This window comes from Homo sapiens, chromosome 4 (genome assembly GCF_000001405.40).
Source record: "Homo sapiens chromosome 4, GRCh38.p14 Primary Assembly".
Lineage (NCBI taxonomy): Eukaryota > Metazoa > Chordata > Mammalia > Primates > Hominidae > Homo > Homo sapiens.
Genome location: NC_000004.12, coordinates 145,610,053 through 145,629,054, shown reverse-complemented (window position 1 = coordinate 145,629,054; position 19,002 = coordinate 145,610,053). Strand labels below are relative to the sequence as shown.

The window sequence follows — 19,002 nt, the reverse complement described above, 5'->3', positions numbered from 1 at the left end:
ATGCTGAAAAAGCATCTGATAAAATTCAACATTCCTTCGATGTTTATATGTCATTTAAATCCACGAGACCAGATTACTAAAAAAAGGATTCAAGATTAAGAGGAAGTGTGACACCTTTTTCAAAAATGTTAAACACACATTGACACCCTCCCCATATACACACACACACATAGAATAACTATATATATATTGATGTGTATATAACTTCATCTACAGAGGAGTGGTATTATGGTGCTTTTATGTTGTTTTTTGGCTGACCACATATTTCTGCTTTTTTAAAAACAGCATATGTTACTATGATAGGCAGAATAATGGCTCCCCAAACATGTCCACGTCCGAATCCCTGGATCCTATGAATATGTTATGTTATATGGCAAATAGGGAATTAAAGTTGCAGATGGAACTAAAGTTGCTAATCAGCTGACAAGGTAAAAAGATTATCTTAGATTATCCAGGTGGACCCAATGTAATCACCAATGTCCTTTAATATGAAAGTGGGAGGTAGAAATGAATAGCAGAGTGACATCATGTGAGGATTCAATCCACTCTTCAGGTCTTTGAAGATGAAGTAAAAGGGCCATGAACCAAGGAATGAGGACAACCTATAGAAGATGGTAAAGGCAAGGAAACTGATTCTCTTCTAGATCCTCCAGGATGGAACAAAGATCTACTGACACCTTGATTTTACCCTAGTGAGACCCGTGTCAGACTTCTGACCAATAGAACTGTAAGATAATAAATTTGTGTTAAGACACTAAGTTTGTGGTAATCTGTTACCAGAGCTATAGGAAACTAATACAGTTCTATGGTAAGAAAAAGTAACCAAAAAAATCTTTTTTAAAAGATAAAATTCAGAATTTTTAAAATTTAATAAGAAATGCCTAATAACTACTCATGATTTAATTATTATCTTTGCCATAACCTGTAACTTGCTTCCTTTTGCATTTAGATTTCTTCCTAACATCAGAGTCAAATTTGATGAATCCTTAATTTTACCAGTTATTGTGACTATCAGTGTTACATTCAATGCATTTATACGTCAGTTTCTAAATTAGACATAAAGCCAGCATATATACTAAAAAAATTTAGTAAAAAGAATTATGTGCAAGGTGAAATAAGCAATAATCACATTTTACCATTTCTTCCATGCACAGATATTTTATCAGAATCATGTTAAATTTGAAGTTCAAAAGTAGTCTGAAATAACATGATATATATGAGATAGTAACCATTTTTGAGCATGGTAGATTTTTTAAAACTATATATATACTATAATAAAAATTAGGTGTCTGTAGTGCATATCGTTCACATTTTTGCTGACAAATGCCTACTCAGTTCAAATAGCACCTCCTCAGAGATACATCTTCCCCCACCTTCTCCAGGCAGTTAAGTGTTCTATTCAATGCTCCACAGTCTTTTGTTCCCACCTCAAAAATAGTATTTGTCTTCTTGTTTTCTAATTTATCTACTTATAGACCGCTCCTTACCAATTCTCATTGCTCAACTCAACTGATTCTCCCAGAAAAAGGGCATATTTCCTCAGAAACTATCACAGTGCCTGGCACACAGTAACCTTCCAATTTTTTTTTTAGGTTCATGAATATATACTCCATCTACTCTATGTTAATCTACTAAACTATAAAGAAAAGTTTGGGTAACAATCTTAACCTGTGTGACTGAAGGACATTTACTAAAACATTTTGCCTTCTAAGTTTCCTGTTTTGAATCAAGACACCTTTGACATGCAACCAACCTTCCAAACAGAAAAATGGTAAGATAAGTTTGCAAGGAATCAAAACTTAGTAACAAAAGCTTTACTACATGAAATTATGTCCATTTATAATAATGTAAGCAAATATTCTCTAAATAAATATTCTAGATTGCTTTAACATTTAAAATAGTGGTTTCTTACAACAATTTAATTGCAATCTTTCTCAGAAAATCCACACCGTCTGATAAGCTTATGATTTATACTGCAGGTTTTATCACAATTGGGATTGCAGTTCTCTGCCTTCTGATGCCAATACAAATCTTAAAAGGACTTTAAGTGAAAAGAAAGAACGAGAAAAAGGATGATACCATCTTACTCCAGTTCTTTTGCCAAAACCAAAAAGCTATCCAGATGTATGTAATTCTGGATTTGATATCCTCAAACTTCTTCCCAGGGGACTAATTTTCTTGCTTCCCCCCAACTCTTTGGAGCATCTGAATGGCAAGCAGCAGCTGCTACCTTCTACTGAGTGTTTATCATGTGTGAGGCATCGTGCATGCATTTTTTCAGCTAATCCTCACAACAATCCTACAGTGGATGACATCCTATTTTAAAGGTGAGGCTCAGCGGCATAAGGCTGATTCACCAAGGCCTCAGAACTAGTGGCAGAACTTGGAAAAAACTATGGATTTCACAAATCCAGATTTATATGGTGTCAACTCTAGAGAAAATAAAATAATCCTGTATATCTGAATATGCCTGATTATGGCTGGCTATTTATCTTTTTATTTATTTATTTTTTGCTTAGGCCAAAATGAAAAATTAGTTTCTATTTCGAGTGCTAAGTTTTTATCAGTAGATCTCGATGTGTTAGGTGACAGAACAGACCACATTTTAAAATGTTTTTTGCTCCACGGACAATAATTCACTCCTGATAACTAAGTTCATAACATATTTAACCCCATGAATTTATCTAATTAACCAGATTTTAAAGCAGCCCATAAATTTTTTAAGAGCCAATATAACTCAGCCTTGTATGAGCAGCTTTCTACCTTTATATACTGTCACAGGCAGAACAGACTAATTCCACTAAAATGGCAAAATTATGTAAGTAGAGAGAAGGATTATTTCCTACCTGCTCATGTAACTCAGCATCTTTTCCTGCTTTCTCATGGGAAGAAATCAAAGAACTAGATCAATAATCGAATCAGCTTTGGGCCCTAGGTTTGTGTGGGGCCGTGTCTCAGTCCACCCAAGGTCCCCTCCGACTGCCCCAGAGAGGCACTGGGACCTGGAGCTGTGAGCAGAATGAATACCTTCCAAGACCAGAGTGGCAGCTCCAGTAATAGAGAACCCCTTTTGAGGGGTAGTGATGCACGGAGGGACTTGGAGCTTGCTATTGGTGGAGTTCTCCAGGCTGAACAGCAAATTAAAGATAACTTGCGAGAGGTCAAAGCTCAGATTCACAGTTGCATAACCCGTCATCTGGAACGTCTTAGAAGCCATGAGGTGTGACTAAATGAACAGGTGGACCTCATCTATCAGCTTAAAGAGGAGACAATTCAACAGCAGGCTCAGCAGCTCTACTGGTTATCAGGCCAGTTCAATTGTCTTATTCATCAACTGGAGTGTACCCAAAACAAAGATCTAGCCAATCAAGTCTCTGTGTGCCTAGAGAGACTGGGCAGTTTGACCCTTAAGTATGAAGATTCAAATGTCCTACTCTTTGAAGCTGACACAACTGCTCTGTGCCAGACCATCACCATATTTAGGTCTCTCAAAACAATTCAAATTTCTGAGCACTTGATGGCTTATGCTAGTTCATCAAATATTGGGCCCTTCCTGGAGAAGAGGCTATATCCCTATGCCAGAGCAGAAGTCAGCATCCAGTATTGCAGCTATCCCTCTCAGCAAATGGCTCCTTGGAAGCAAACCTGCCAGTGGTCATTAGGCTCCTTACATACCCAGCACCAACCCCCAGGACTGGCTCACCAAAAAGCAGACCTTGGAGAATAGACAGACTTCTTCCAGAGCCTGCAATTTCTTTACTAATGTCTGGGGAAACCTAAAGGGCTTAGAAAACTTGCTCCTCAAGAGTCAGCAACAGGAAGTTCCTGAAAAACCAAGTTATCAAAAGTGTAACAGCCATTCCACTACTAGTTCTTTCTCCATTGAAATGGAAAAGGTTGAAGATCTAGAGCTTCCTGATCGAGATGAGATGAACCTATCAGATTGGCTAGTGACTCTCCAGGAATCCCATAAGCTGGGGAAGCCCGAGAATGGCAGTCATGAAACCGGTGAGAAGTTTGAGCTCTTGTTCCAGTCCTATAATATGAATGATTGGCTTGTCAAGACTGACTCCTGTACCAACTGTCAGGGAAACCAGCCCAAAGGTATGGAGTTGGAAAACGTGGGCAATCTAAGTGCCTGCATGACCACTTGGGGGCCAAGAAACCATTGTACACCCCCAGCATGGTTACAGAGGATTGGCTTGTCCAGAACCATCAGGACCCATGTAAGGTAGAGGAGGTGTGCAGAGCCAATGAGCCCTGCATAAGCTTTGCAGAGTGCGTGTATGATGAGAATTGTGAGGAGAAGGCTCTGTATAAGTGGCTTCTGAACAAAGAAGGAAAGGATAAAAATGGGATGCCCATGGAACCCAAACCTGAGCCTGAGAAACATAAAGATTCCCTGAATATGTGGCTCTGTCCTTCTAGTAAAGAAGTAATAGAACTAAAGCACCAAAGTCAATGGTTCCTTCTAGAATTGCTGGTTCCTTCTAGAATTGCTGATTCCTTCCAAGTCATAAAGAACAGCACCTTGTCAGAGTGGCTTATCAGGCCCCCATACAAAGAAGGAAGTCCTAAGAAAGGGCCTAATACTGAAGACAAAGCTGGCAAACAAAAGCTAAAAAGCCCCATGAGCACTTCCTGGTGTTCCTTTAACACAGCTGACTGGCTCCTGCTGGGAAAGAAGATGGGCAACCTCAGCCAGCTATCCTCTGGAGAAGACAAGTGACTGCTTCGAAAGAAGACCTAGAAGTATTACTTAATTCACCTCTACAGGAGGAATATAACTTCCCCCCAGACCATTATGGCCTCCCTGCAGTTTGTGATCTCTTTGCCTGTATGCAGCTTAAAGTTGATAAAAAGAAGTGGTTATATCAAACTCCTCTACAGATGTGAAGGAGTGGACAAGAGTTGAGCAGCCTTTCTGCTGATTATCACACATCATGAGCTGAGTGACTGTGGCTTGCCAAATCATTGTGTTTCTGGGTCTGACCAGTTAGCTTAGTTCTTCTCCTGCCTAATTTTGAACTAGTAAAGTGAAGTGAGTCATCAGATTATAAGTTACTGTTTAAAAGAAAAATGTTGTGTATTGATGCTGAGCTGATTCAGTTCCTTCCTTCTTACAGAAGTGTTAATTCACCCCCACACCAGAAATGCAGCATCTTTGTGGGTATGTCTTTTTCACAAGCCTCCAAGGCTCCTTAGATCAGGTCGTTACTAAAAGTACATTAAAACACTCAAGTTTTAAAAATGAAATATTTCTGTAATCGAAGTGTATTAATGTATTCTAAAGCTAGTAAACTTCCCTAACGTTTAATTGCCCTATAGATGCTTCTCTAGCTGTGGGTTTTCTTCTGTTACTGGTCTGAAATAATGATTTTCCTAGTCTATTAATATACAGTGTATTTTGCACAAAAAATTAACCTGGCCAATAGTGATTACCAAAATATATATTAATAATCTTGGAACTTTTGACATTAATTACCAAACATTTTAGACTACATGTTCTACATTATTATTCTTCACTTGAAAGAAACTCAGCTACTGCAAATTTTGTCTTTCTTTCTTTCTGTAAATGTTATTAAAATATCCAGTGAGCTCTTTTAGAAGGGCTCGGTATTATTTCAAGACTATTTTTGAGGTAGTTCTAGCCTTTTAAAATATTCTACACACCTGTGGGGTTCAAAAGAACCCTAGTACCAACTAAGCAAATAGGCAAAAGACATGTTGGAAATGTAGTATAGTACTTGAACCATTCACTATCATAGGGATTATTGGTGCATCCTGGGTAATGGAAGTGGAGCTTGACACCTGGTGCTTTTAACCAGGGATAAAGTCATCCTCTCACTGTAAGTACAGTATACCTGTACCTCCAAAAGTGACATTTTAGTGAACAGGCCATTTTCAACACTTGTGCCTTGGGGTGTTCATTGAAGCTTTATGAAAACTACTGATGTTTTCTCAATCTCCTTAAAGTTATGTCCATGCTTTAAAATGTCTCTGTAAGAGAGAAGTGGGTTTTATATTTATAATGTTTTTAAATTCTCTAAGATATATTTGCTGCTTTCCAGACTTTGAAACTATTAAGCTTCTTAACTGCCTCTTATTGAAATACTTCTGGGGAAACTTCATGGACTCACAGTGTCATTGCCATACAGCTTCACTAGAGTTCTCTGAACCACAGCTGAAAGAGCTTTGTATTATTTTTTAATTCCCTCCCCAGACATCATATAGAACTATTATAATAAAGGTGGTGGGCAAAAAACAATGTAAGGAGCCTTTCCAGTTATCTTAAGTTGCAGCTAACTCTGTAGTTTCTTTTTTGAGGCCAAACACACTGTATTTTACATTGTCAAAATATAGTTTACATTAATCACTATGTTAATGAGTATGTAAAACATTATTTTGCATTGATGAATTTTGTATCTGCCTCCATCAAAAGCATAACAGCCATAAAATAATAATAATCAAATCAAAATGTTTCAACTAATTTTCATGATTCCCGAGAATATGGCTTCATCCTACAATTTGTAAGCTAAGCACTATCAAAATACAAGAGAAATTCCCCAGCTTTACAAGATTCAGTAAGATATCTCAAAAGTAGGCCATATCTAGTATATTAGTCTGATTTCAGGCTGCTGATAAAGACATACCCGAGACTGGGTAATTTATACAGGAAAAAGGGTTTAATGGACTTACAGTTCTATGTGGCTGAGGAAGCCTCACAATCATGGCTGAAGGCAAGGAGGAGCAAGTCATGTCTTACATGGATGGCAGCAAGGAAAGAGAGAGCTTGTGTAGGGAAACTCCCATTTTTAAAACCATCAGATCCCATGAGACTCATTCACTATCATGAGAACAGCACAGGAAAGACCTGTCCCCATAATTCAATCACCTCTCACCAGGCTCCTCCCATGACACATGGGGATTGTGGGAGTTACAATTCAAGATGTGATTTGGGTAGGGACACAGCCAAACCATATCAGTTATCTTTGTATTTATAGCACAATTATTTGCTCACAGAATTAATGAATGTACACCATAATTCTGCATGGGTCAATAACTCCACTACACTGATTACTCAGTTAATTGATGTTTCTAAAATGTACATTTTTTTCTAGATTTTACAGTAATATATTTTAAGGACTTTCTTTTTAAACTGATTTCAATATATGGATATTTTCCTTCATTAAAAATTTGCTCAGCAGCAGCCAGTCTGACTTGGGATATTTATCTTGAAATTGATCCAATGAATATTCTCAATTTCAATAACTACTCTGGCAAGAAAAAGCATACAGAATTTCCTAAATCAATACAGTAGATCAGTGTCTGCAGCACAGCACAATTCGTACAGGCAATGCAGTGTTGTACCAAGTGTTTCCATTTCTCAATGCTAATCACTTTTGATTTGAAGATAAGCTGTCAAATGCCATTAATCTGTTTACCATATTCCACCCCCCCCAACCACAGAAGGCTTTATTTTCTCTTTTTCAAATAATTTCAGGAAACTTTTGTAGAGCAGGATGACTTCTTAAATAAGCAACTTTTAAATAGGTTTTAAATAGGTCATCATGAGTTAAGAGTAATAAAGAACAAATACCAAATTCATGAAGGGATTCTCTAAAGTTCTCTGTCCACTTTACTTTTTATCACTTTTCCAGTAAGATTCAGATTTCCCAATTCCTACTTTTAGGCTTAAATGTGCTTGAGAAGTCTCTATTTTTCTAAATTCCATCACCATTAAATGTTTTGATTCCCACTGCTACCACCCTATTTCAAATCCAGGCTTGAACTAGGAAGCTCTGAGACCAACTATGGAACCTGGGTAATTTCTCATATTCTCAAAGTTCCTTCACTTACAAAATGAAAACATTAAGATCTACGTATCAGGATCATGGTGAGTATAAATGAGTATGCATGAGAGAGCCTGGCACAGGGCCTGGCATCAAGCAGGTGCTAATCACCTCTAAGAAACTTTCCTCTTTTCTCTCTCCCTCCTCAGTCCTCCTTTCAGACTTCACAGCAAGACTCATTCTGAAAGGTGAATGTGATCTCCTTAGCCTCCTACTCAAATTCCTCCAAAAGTTCACCGTACCCTAGGACAGTGGTTCTCAAAGTGTAGTCCCCAGGCCAGCAGCACCTCTTGCGCTTGCCTTTCCAAAATTCCTCTAAGGAGAGTTTACTATCTTCCAAACCTGCCAACTCTCCCAACCCCAAGATTTAACTCATCTTTTACATCCTTCCCCCTCTATGATATCTCTCCTATACTACCCAGCTTAAAATCTTTCCTGACCATCCCAGTCTCTAGGACTTTTTCTGACCTCTAATTCCAATTATTTCTGAATACAAAGAGTCTTCATCTTACAATCGGGTCTGTGTCTGGATAAACCCACTGTAAAGTCAAAAAATCTTTAACTGAACCATTGTGTAAGTGTAGGACTGTACTAAGGTGAAAATCTGCAGAGGTCACAAACTAGTTGCACCTGGCCCACCCACAGAAGGTGTGTGTTAACTAAATTGGTTGCAAGTAACATTAAAAATCAAGAAAAAATACGTAAAAATACAGATCTTTGGCCTGTGTTGGAGAAAATCGGATCTGCGTTTGAGAGACCCCCATTCCCACATGGCAACAATCAGCTAAATGGTAAATGTTTCGAGCATTCACCAGCTCTTTCCATTCTAAATAAAGGTTTTCTTTTGACATCTTCAAATATCTCAAATGGTGATTTACATTTCTTATGGATATGTAACTTTTCATGCTTGTTTTGTCTCTCCTAATAGAATACAGCCCTTAAAAAACCTGTCCTTGTCTTTGACTTTTTAAAAACCTCTTGTTACCCTGAACACAAACCGGTATTTAGTGCAAAATTATTGTAAAAGAATATTCTGAACATTGTAGACAACAGCAAAATGCTGAATAATCCACACAGTTTTTCTGGAAACTTTTGGCTTTCTACCAAGTTGGAAAAGTTTTATTAGTTTATGTTTTCTAAACATATGGATTAGGGTACAACTCTTAAGACAGATAATAAAAAATTTTTATATTATTTTGGTTTAGGTCGTCTTTCATTTTCTAATGAGAAATACATATGAAGACAGCATGCCCTCTGCTGAAAGAGATTTAGACCCTGCCCGGCACGCCATGTGACGGAACCTAGATACTGTTTGTAACTTTTAGTTTGAATCCAACTTTTATATCCTGGATTTGATTTCCCAGAAAAGAGTTTCAATTTCACTCTTTGGTAGGAGTCATAGTGGCTTTCTCTGACGCGGCCTCAGGTTAACCATTTACCGGGTTTGGCAGCGACAAGGGAAGAGCCACCTTAACAAAGCTGCCTTGCTGTGGCTCAGAGATAACCTGAGAAACCTAACCAAGATGAGAATTTTAAAACACTGTTTACGTACAGGGCCTTTCTTTGTTAAAGCTTCCATTTGAACCCATTTGCCGACTCCTGCCTGTCCACACATATCCGCACCCCGAACATCAATATTAGGAGAATATTCGATAATACTCTCCTTTTCCTTCCCCCACCCCAAATCCTCCAGGGGGCGCCCCGGAGGACCGCGCTGGCCCCCCGGCGGGAGGGCGGCCGTAGGCGGGAGCCCAGTCCCGACTCCTGGACGCCGCGCGCACTCCCCATACTCACCCGCCCGAAGCCACGGAAGTGCCACCTGACCCCGCCCCTTCCGCCGGATCCTCCCACGCAGGCGCAGCGCCGACTGCAGGCGCGTGGGGCCCGGGGATCGCCTGGGGCTGGGTGGCGGTGCGGGGCATGGCCAGGGTCCCCGTGGACGTGGCCGCGCAGTTCCGGCGTGTGGCGGAGAGCGAGTGAGCGTGAAGGTCTCCCGGCCTGCAGCAGGCTGCGGAAGCTCTGCGCCGGGAAGTTCTCTGGCGGGGGAGGGGAGGGCGGTTTACGGCCTTTGGGGTAGGTTTTGCCCTTTTTAAGATCCACATGAAATCTTTCGCCTCCGAAGTTCGAGGGTAACTTTCGTTCCCTCCTGGCCTTCGCGACACCCTCGAGTCGGACGGAGGCCGAGTCGTGTCCTCACCCCCAGCAGCCTGCGGCGGCCGGGACCCCCGGAGGCCCTTCTTCCGCTCCTTGGAAACTTAAAATGTGGGGTGAGGGAGAGACGCGTTACGTTTGACAGACCGGTGAAATTAAAGACACTCAAGCTTCTCAGAGTGATTTGAAGAAATGCTCAGCGTTCTGCCGAAATATAGTTTTAAGTTTTTAAACCACGGCATGGTTTTTAAAGGCTGAAGGACCCACAGTTTTTTTCTCTTAAAGGGCACGCATTCATTTTGATTAATATTTCTTAACATGCAGCCAAAGCCAGGACTCGGGCTCACTGCTGCAGGGGTGTCCTCGGGAAGTCCCGAGGGGGGAAAGGCGCGCAAGCCTGAAATGGAGATGAAAATAAACAGGCATAATATTTGCTACCTCACTGCGTTGGGCGTAGTAGTAACTAATTCTTAAAAAACGTCTTAGATGACATATAAGTAGTAAAGCCGTTGTATGCTAATCTAGAATTTTTGAGAAAAACTTAATCACCCAAATGTTTGCTATAATGTGATGAAGATAGCATCCATCGGCAGTAGCCAGGATCAAATGACGAGTAGATATGGTTATAAATGGGGCCCATGCAGTATAATTAGTATATGAAACCAAGATGTCAGTCCTCACACAGAATTTGTGTAATGATATGCATTTGGGAGGCTTCAGGCCTTTTCAGCTATTTGATACAGGTTGATTCTTACTGAATACAGAATAATAAAAAATGAATTACTGGTCTCACCATTTTCATTATTACTATTTGGACCAAAAGACTACCACTTTTACTCCAAAGATTGATTGTAGACTCAATAGCCAATGACAGAAAATTAAGCACAAGTCTAAATGAAGCCGAGGATCTAGTAGAAAGAACACAGAATCAAACCTTTCAAATCTCAGCCTATCGAACACAAACAGATTGACAGTTCTTGAGACGGTTTACTTCCTTTCTTTAAACTTGGCGTTGCTCATCTGAACAATTGTTTCGGTAAGGGTTACGTTTGATGAAAGCTCAGTTTGTGCTACCTTAGAAGTGAAGAAGTTTGTTAATTTTAAAATTGAGTTTATCCTTACCTGCTTTTCGTTCTACAAACTCAAACACTTTCATGCATGTCACTTTTTTATTCAGAAGTTTTCTAAACAGTACAGCTTAGGGAACACATTTCCATGGAACATTAGTGTTTTGCAAAATGTTAATAGATTCTTCATGGGAAAAAAATTGCTAGCATCACCAATACTGGCGAAAATATGAACCTGTCATTATGAGGCTATGGGAAATACACTTTTGTAGAGCTCTTGCCAAAAATGTTTAACCTGAATCTGATTGTGAGGAAACACTGAGATAAATTCTGAATGTGATTTGTTCGGACTTTTCAATAAGGTTAATAAGGAAGACAATAAAAAAAGGCAGGAGGACTGATCTACATTAAAGACAGCTGTCAACTAGATAGCCTTAAGGATTTAAAAAATTTGAACCTGGGCTGGGCGCAGTGGTTCACGCCTGTAATCCCAGCACTTTGGGAGGCCGAGGCGGGTGGATCACCAGGTCAAGAGATCGAAACCATCCTGGCCAACATGGTGAAACCCTATGTCTACTAAAAATACAAAAATGAGCTGGGTGTGGTGGCACGTGCCTGTAGTCCTAGCTACTCCGGAGGCTGAGGCAGGAGAATCGCTTGAACCCGGGAGGCAGAGGTTGCAGTGAGCCGAGATTGCGCGACTGCACTCCAGCCTGGCGACAGAGACTCCAGTCTCAAAAAAACAAAACAACAACAACAACAAAAAAGTTGGTAGTTTCAGGTGAATAGTATATGAATGTTCTTTTAACTCATCTATAGATTTGAAAATTTTCAAAATAAATAGTTGAGGACAAATTGTAGCTAGCAATGCTGGAAACCCATTTCTGCCTCCCAGCAGGTGGCAGCAAATTAATACTCCATAACGTACAAGAAAATCATTGCAATTTCCTCGTCTTGGTAAATGTTTTGGATGTTGCAGACTGGCTTTTTTTAGGGATAGGAGCCAAAAGAATATTGTTGCCAGATTATGGATGTTTATGTTAATTTATCAACTAGTTGGGAAAGTACTTACTGTTCTTCATTGCTCATCTCACACAGAACCAAAAGTCTGTTTGTAAGCTCTTTTGTTGGAATAACAGTCAAGCTCATGTTACCTTCATAAACACTCACCATAACCATTAATTGGCTAATAACCATCAATACAACATTTCAAAGTTTATGAAATACAACTAAAGTATTCTCAGAGGGAAATTTGTAGTTTTTTCATACCTTTATTAGAGAAGAAGAAAAAAAATCAGTGATCTAAGTCAGGATCAGCAAACTGTGGTCTACAGGCCAAGTCCAGTGCATAGTCTTCTTTTGTACAGCCTGCAAAACTCTAGAAAAACTCATTTTAAAAATAGAGAAATTACCAGTATCTGGAATGAAAGAACACTAAAGATTCTACAGACATTAAAACATGGGTCTCAACCAGAGGGTTTTTTGCCCCCAGGGAACATTTGGCAATGTCCAGAGACATTTTTGGTTGTCACAGTTGGAGAGTCTGCTATCAGAAGGCAGAGGTCAGGGAAACAGCTGAATATTCTGCAATGCACAGGACAGTCCCCCACAGCTATTTTGCTGGCCTCCAATGTCAGTAGTGCTGAGATTGAAAAATTCTAATTAAAATCACAAAAGAATAATATTATAAACAAATTTATACCAATAAAATCTGATAACTTAGAATAAAAAGTTTTGGGGGCCGGGCATGGTGGCTCACGCCTGTAATCCCAGCACTTTGGGAGGCCGAGGCGGGTGGATCACTTGAGGTCAGGAGTTTGAGGCCAGCCATGTCAACTTGGAGAAACCCCGTCTCTCCAAAAATACAAAAATTAGCTGGGCATGATGGCACGCACCTGTAATCCCAGCTACTTGGTAGGCAGAGGCAGGAGAATCACTTGAACCTAGGAGGCAGAAGTTGTAGTGAGTTGAGATTGCACCACTGCACTCCAGCCTGGATGACAGCGAGACTCTGTCTCAAGAAAAAAAGTTTTTTGAAAAAAAAAAAAAAAACTTATCAAAACACTGAAGAATAAATAGAAAATCTGAGTATTTGTACATCTGGTACAGAATTTGAATTCGCAATTTAAAAATACAAAGAAAACCATCCACGTTAGTGAATTCTATCCAGCATTTAAAGAACACACAATGTCAATTTTATGTAAACTCAGAGAATAGAGGAGGAAGGAATAACAGCAGAACCTTCGGAAAAATCTAACAGACATTAGAGGGAAAAAAAACACAAATTAATATTACTCACTAATACAGATGCAAAATTCCTATAGAAAATACTGGCAAATTGAACCCAGAAAAAAATAAAATAAAATCGCCAATTGCAGTTTATCCAGAATGCAAGATTTGCCCAACATTAATCAACAATAATTTACAACATTAATAAAGGAGAAAATCTTAATAATGGCGGAAAAAGCATTTGACATATTTTATTGCTAACTCATGATGACAACAATCACAAAACTAGAAATAAAAGAGAACTTTATAAAGGACATCTATGAAAGATCAATAGCTATTATGCTTAATGGTGAAATATCCAATCCTAAGATTGGGAACAAGGTAAAGCTGTCGGCTCTCATCACTTCTATTCAGCTTTGTATCAGAAATTCTAGACAGTACAATAAATAATTAAAATAATAAAAGATAAATATTACAAAAGTGCAAAACTGTCTATTCACAGTGGTCTATGTAGAAAATCTGTTTTTCAAAGCTACTAAATAAATTGTTTTTGTAGACTGTACATGTGGAAAATCTTCAACGTCTACTGGATGTTGAAGTCATGGGGTAAAAGCTCAGTATATATTAAAAAAATACTTTATATACTAGTAAGCAGCAATTGGAAAATGACATGTTAAAATATGCCATTTATAATAGTACAGATGATCCCTGACTTATGAGGGTTTCACTTACGATTTTTTTTTACTTTATAATGATGTGAAAGTGATAGACATTCAGAATGCTCCTCAGGTTACAATGGGGTTACATTCAGATAAACCCATCATAAGTTGAAAATATTAAGTTGAAAACCCCCCTACAATTTACAGTATTTTCCATTTAGGATGGGTTTATTCAGACATAACCTCATCATAAGTTGAGGAGCATCTGTATTATAAATACCTAGGAATACGTTTAATGAAAGACATGCAAGAGCTGTACCCTAAAGTGACAAAACATTGCTTAAATGAAAGAGCTAAATAAATGGAGAGATGTGCCATATTTATGCATACTGAACATGTGCCAAGAAAGACCATATTCTGGGTTATAAGTCTCAATTTATAAGGATGAAAATCATACAAAGTATTGTTCTCCAACCACAATGGAATTAGCAGTCAATAATAGTTCTTTGGAAATCTCCAAATCTCAATAATCAAAGGCACAGATTTTCCAGACTGCTGGCCTCAAAAGTTCAGATTGACACTGAAGACATTCTTCTCTGCACAGCCAAGCCAATTGATTCACATGGGAAATAATTATGGACATATTGCCACATTCTAACCAACTGCACTAACCTGGCACTGCCCTGAGATTGGGGTATGCTGGAAGCAACTGCAGACGGCGGTTATATATTTTATTGTACTAAAACAGAGTTACAGCATATTTAAAATTCATGAAATTGTTCCCATTTCTTGCTTTCCTTCCCTCACAGTCTGAAAATACTGATGAAAAATCTGGGAACAAGATTATGGGTGTAGTTGACAAAACAGAAAATCTGTTCCTGGACAGCTTTTGATGAATTTAATAAGTACAGAGATAATGAACATAGACTACATTTGCATAATGGCATAACAAAAATTCATTGAACAATGCTAACTATCTGGGGGAAACTACAGTTTGGAAACTGAATGTAAGATTGTGGTTCTGGCAAGATTACTCATTCTATTTAATGATTATACATGGTGTTGAAGGGGTTGGGGGAAATAGTCCATTTTGTGCTGCTGTAACAGAATACCTGAGACGGCGTAATTTATAAAGATTAAAATAAACATTTACTTCTTAGAGTTCTGGGGGCTGAGAAGTGCAAGGTTGAGGGGCTCACTTCTGGTGAGGGACTTAATGCTGTGTCATTCCATGGCAGAAAACGGAAGGGCAAGAGAGGGGAAGAGGGGTGGGTGGGGAGGGGACTGGCTTCATCCTTTTATGCGGAACTCACTCCTGTGACAACCAACTCATTCCTGTGAAGTGGCATTAATCAGTTTATGTGGGCAGAGGCCTCATTACCTAATCACCTCTCAACACTGTTGCATTGGGGATCAAGCCTCTAACGTGAATTTCAGAGGACACATTCAAACCACAGCATTCCACCCCTAGTCTTCAAACTTTATGACTTCTCACCATGCAAAATACATTCATTCTATCCCAATTGTCCCAAAAGTCTTGTTCTACATCAGTCCAAAAGTCCAAAGACCGAAGTCTCATGTAAATCATGTATGGGTGAGATTCAAGGCACAATTCACCCTGAGGCAAATTCCTTTCCAGTTGTGAACCTGTGAAATTTAACAAGTTATCTACTTCCAAATATATATATATGTTGTGACAGCATAGGATAGACATTCCCATTCCAAAAGGGAAAAATAGGCAAGAAGAAAGTAACAGGACCCAAGCAAGTCTAAAATCCAATAAGAAAAATGAGTTTTAAAGCTGGAGAATAATCTCTTTTGACTCCATATCCCACATCCTGGGCACACCAGGATGGGGCAGGGTCCCTAAGGCCTCGGGCAGCTCCATTCCTACCGCTTTGGTGGACTGTCTACCCAGCAGTGCTCAGATAGAAATTTCATGCCTCCAGCTTTCCCAGGTTGGAGTTGCATGCTGGTAGCCCTACAGTTTTGTGGTCTTGGGAGCTGCCCCACTCTCAAGACCACTAGGCATTGACCTACTGGGCTGTCCACATTCTTTGAAATCTAGGTGGAAGTCACCATGTCCCCACAGCTCTTGGATTCTACACATCTGCAGAATCAGCACCACATGATGCCACCAAGGCTTACCGCTTGTGTCCTCTGGAATGGCAACCTGAGCCACAGCCAGGCCTGCTTGAACCACTGCTGGGGTGACAGGATTACAGCACTGGCATACAGGGAGCAGAGTCTGGAAGTCGCCCTGGGCAGCAAGCCCACGGAGGGCACTGTGGGTTGTCCCCCCAAACCATTCTGTTCTAGAGCTCTGGGCCTGTGATGGAAGGGAGCCTCAAAGATGTCTGAAATTCCTTTCAGGTCATTCTCCATGGTCTTGATGAATATCACCTGGTTTCCTGCTAGCCATACTAACCTCTTTAGCAAATAGTGGCTTGGCCATATCCTCGGTTTGCTGTCCTAAAGACACTATTTTACTTGTGACCTGAGAAACCAAAAGAGATGCCCCTTTATCAACTAAGACAGACCCCAAGTTTAAAGAAACAGATACTTTTCTTTGAGGGTTCAGTGCTCAGCTGACATGATAACTTCTAAATTCCTATGGCTATAAGAATAAACACACTCTTATTAAACTCCCTAACAATAGGAGCTTTCATGTAAATTATCAAGAGCCCTCATAAACTCTGATTTACAACTCAGACCACTTCAACTCTGATTGGACAGAAGACCTACCTTATAAACACACTTTCCTAATGAGTAAGTATAGACCTTAAGCAAGTTTCAGCAAGCTTATAGAGACTGTGCACAGTCTTCGTATCCTACAGTTCACCTTTTAACATGGAGCCAAATTTCACCCCATTTTAATGCCAAAACCCCACCCCAAAGTGAACATGGGTTATACATTATATATGCCTGCCTATTGCACATGCACTCAACTCTCCACATAAATATGTATAGCTTTTCCCCAAACCTGCCGAATATGTATGACTGCACAAGCCCTTTGAGGCATAAGGGCCAACCTGCCCTTTTCATCTTCAAAAAAGAGCACCTTCAGCACATGCCATTGATTCTTCTCAGTTTGCAAACTGATATTGCCAATAAAGCTCTCCTTTCTACCATTTAGGCATTCTGGTGGTGTTTTGGACAACACACTCTCCATGCCCAGGCTGCAAATTTTCCTAATCTTTCTGCTCTGCTTCCCTTTCGGTATAAATTCTAAATCACCTCTCTCTCTCTCCCTCTCTCTCTCTCTCTCTCTCTCTCTGTGTGTGTGTGTGTGTGTGTAGCTTTCATATCTTACATTTTATCTTATTTTGCTGTATACAGTTAAACATATCCATGCAACTCCTTCAATAATTTGCTGCTTAGAAACTTCTTCCACCAGATATTTTAGTTCATCTCTTTTAAGTTCTGCCTTCCACAAAGTCCTAGGAAATGGACACAGTTCCATCACAATTTTCTGCAAAACACGGATAGCTTTTAATCCAGTTTCCAATGCATTGTTTCTTATTTCCATCTGAGACTTCATCAGAATGGCCTCTACTGTCCATATTTCTACCAGCCTTCTGGTCATGACCACTTAAGTAATCCTTAAGAAGATTAGGCTCTCCTCACAGTTCTTGTCTTCTCACCAGAATTGCCCAGTGCTCCATTCACAGCAGTCGAGGCTTTTCTATTTGCTCCTCCAAATTCTTCCAGCCTCTATTTGTTACCCAGTTCCAAAGCCACATCTACATTTTCAGGTATTTGTTGTAGCAACAGCCCCACTCCTCAACACCAATTTTATGTCTTAGTCTGTTTTGTGCTTCTATAACAGAATGCCACAGACTAGGTAATTTATAAAGAAGAGAAATTATTCCTTACAGTTCTGGAGGCTGGGAAGTCCAGAATCAAGGGTCCCACACCTGGTGAGGCCTTCTTGCTCCATCATTCCATGGTGGAAGGCTTGGAGGGCAAGAGAGGGAAAGAGTAGGCAAGGGAAAAGAGTAGGGAAGGGGGCTGAACTTATCCTTTTATCAGGAACTCCACTCCCATGACAATTATGCACTCCTGCAATAATGGCTCCATTCATCCCTTAATGAGAGTAGAGCCCTCAGGACCCAGTCACCTCTCAAAAGTTTCACTTCTCAACACCATTGCATTGGAAATGAAGCCTCCAACACATTAACTTTGGGGAACACATTCAAATCACAGCAACCCTGCATGCTTTCTTCTACTCTCACTATTATCGTGATAAAATAATTTATTTTTTAATAGAAAGATTTCCAACATACAGATCTGTCCCACATGTATCTCTTTCAAGGATTTATAAAATTAAACATTTCTCTTTCAATAGATCATTGAGAGGATTGGGGACTATAAATCACTTTTAATTTTAAAAAGTATTTTTGACCCTTAAAAAGGTTTTAAGTTACTCATCTTCACAATTGTTTATTTTGACTGTCGATTATGCTTAATATAATGAGATTAATTTTCAAATTTCACTTGGTAAATAGAGTTCATAGACCTTTCTTTCCAGAAGTTGCCTTTTTAAAAAAATGACTTTTATTTAAATGTTTTTTCAACCTTTATCTTTTACAGTTTTTAACTTCATGTTACTTCTAATAATTCTGAAAACAATTATTCCATTTTGGTATAATTTTCTAAACTCACAGGGGAAGTCTGATTTTCTTTTCTTGGTATGAACATAAAGGGAAAATCAAATGTGATGGCATGGTAACAACTAATCGCAGCTGATATTATTAAACTATTTTATGGCTATTGTCAACATCCCTGTGAGATAGATGCTACTGTTATCCCATTTTACATACAGGGAAACTGAGACTCAGGGAGATTAACCAATGTGCCCAAATGTTACATGATAGTATAAAAGTCTGGCTTTGAGCTCATGTAATTGACTTCAGTGTCCACATACTTAATCATTGGTGCTTACTTTTCTGTGAATTTACTAAAGTAACAGGATTATTTCAGATTCCCTAACTTATTATGATAGTTCCAATTTCAGTGTTATCTATACATAAGATGTGATGA

The 19,002-nt window shown here is 39.3% G+C and overlaps 1 protein-coding gene and 1 pseudogene across 2 annotated transcripts in view, besides 2 other annotated features; one reads left to right on the top strand and one right to left on the bottom strand.

The window, feature by feature from the left end:
• The window catches only part of MMAA (metabolism of cobalamin associated A), a 40,649-nt gene extending 30,979 nt beyond the window's left edge, over nucleotides 1-9,670 (bottom strand). The window contains exon 1 of one of the 2 annotated variants that reach the window (NM_001375644.1): nucleotides 9,406-9,670. The gene's annotated coding sequence lies outside the window, so the exon portion shown is untranslated. The remainder of the gene's footprint in view (nucleotides 1-9,405) is intronic. The other variant, NM_172250.3, reaches the window with a different exon arrangement.
• NCOA4P3 (nuclear receptor coactivator 4 pseudogene 3) lies at nucleotides 2,923-6,458 on the top strand (annotated as a pseudogene).
• Nucleotides 9,302-9,371: a silencer, noted in NCBI's record as "silent region_15732". NCBI's record gives its function as "represses an Ori minimal core promoter by ATAC-STARR-seq in GM12878 lymphoblastoid cells {active_cell/tissue: GM12878}" and the evidence as "EXISTENCE:reporter gene assay evidence [ECO:0000049][PMID:35858748]".
• Nucleotides 9,402-9,841: a silencer, noted in NCBI's record as "silent region_15731". NCBI's record gives its function as "represses an Ori minimal core promoter by ATAC-STARR-seq in GM12878 lymphoblastoid cells {active_cell/tissue: GM12878}" and the evidence as "EXISTENCE:reporter gene assay evidence [ECO:0000049][PMID:35858748]".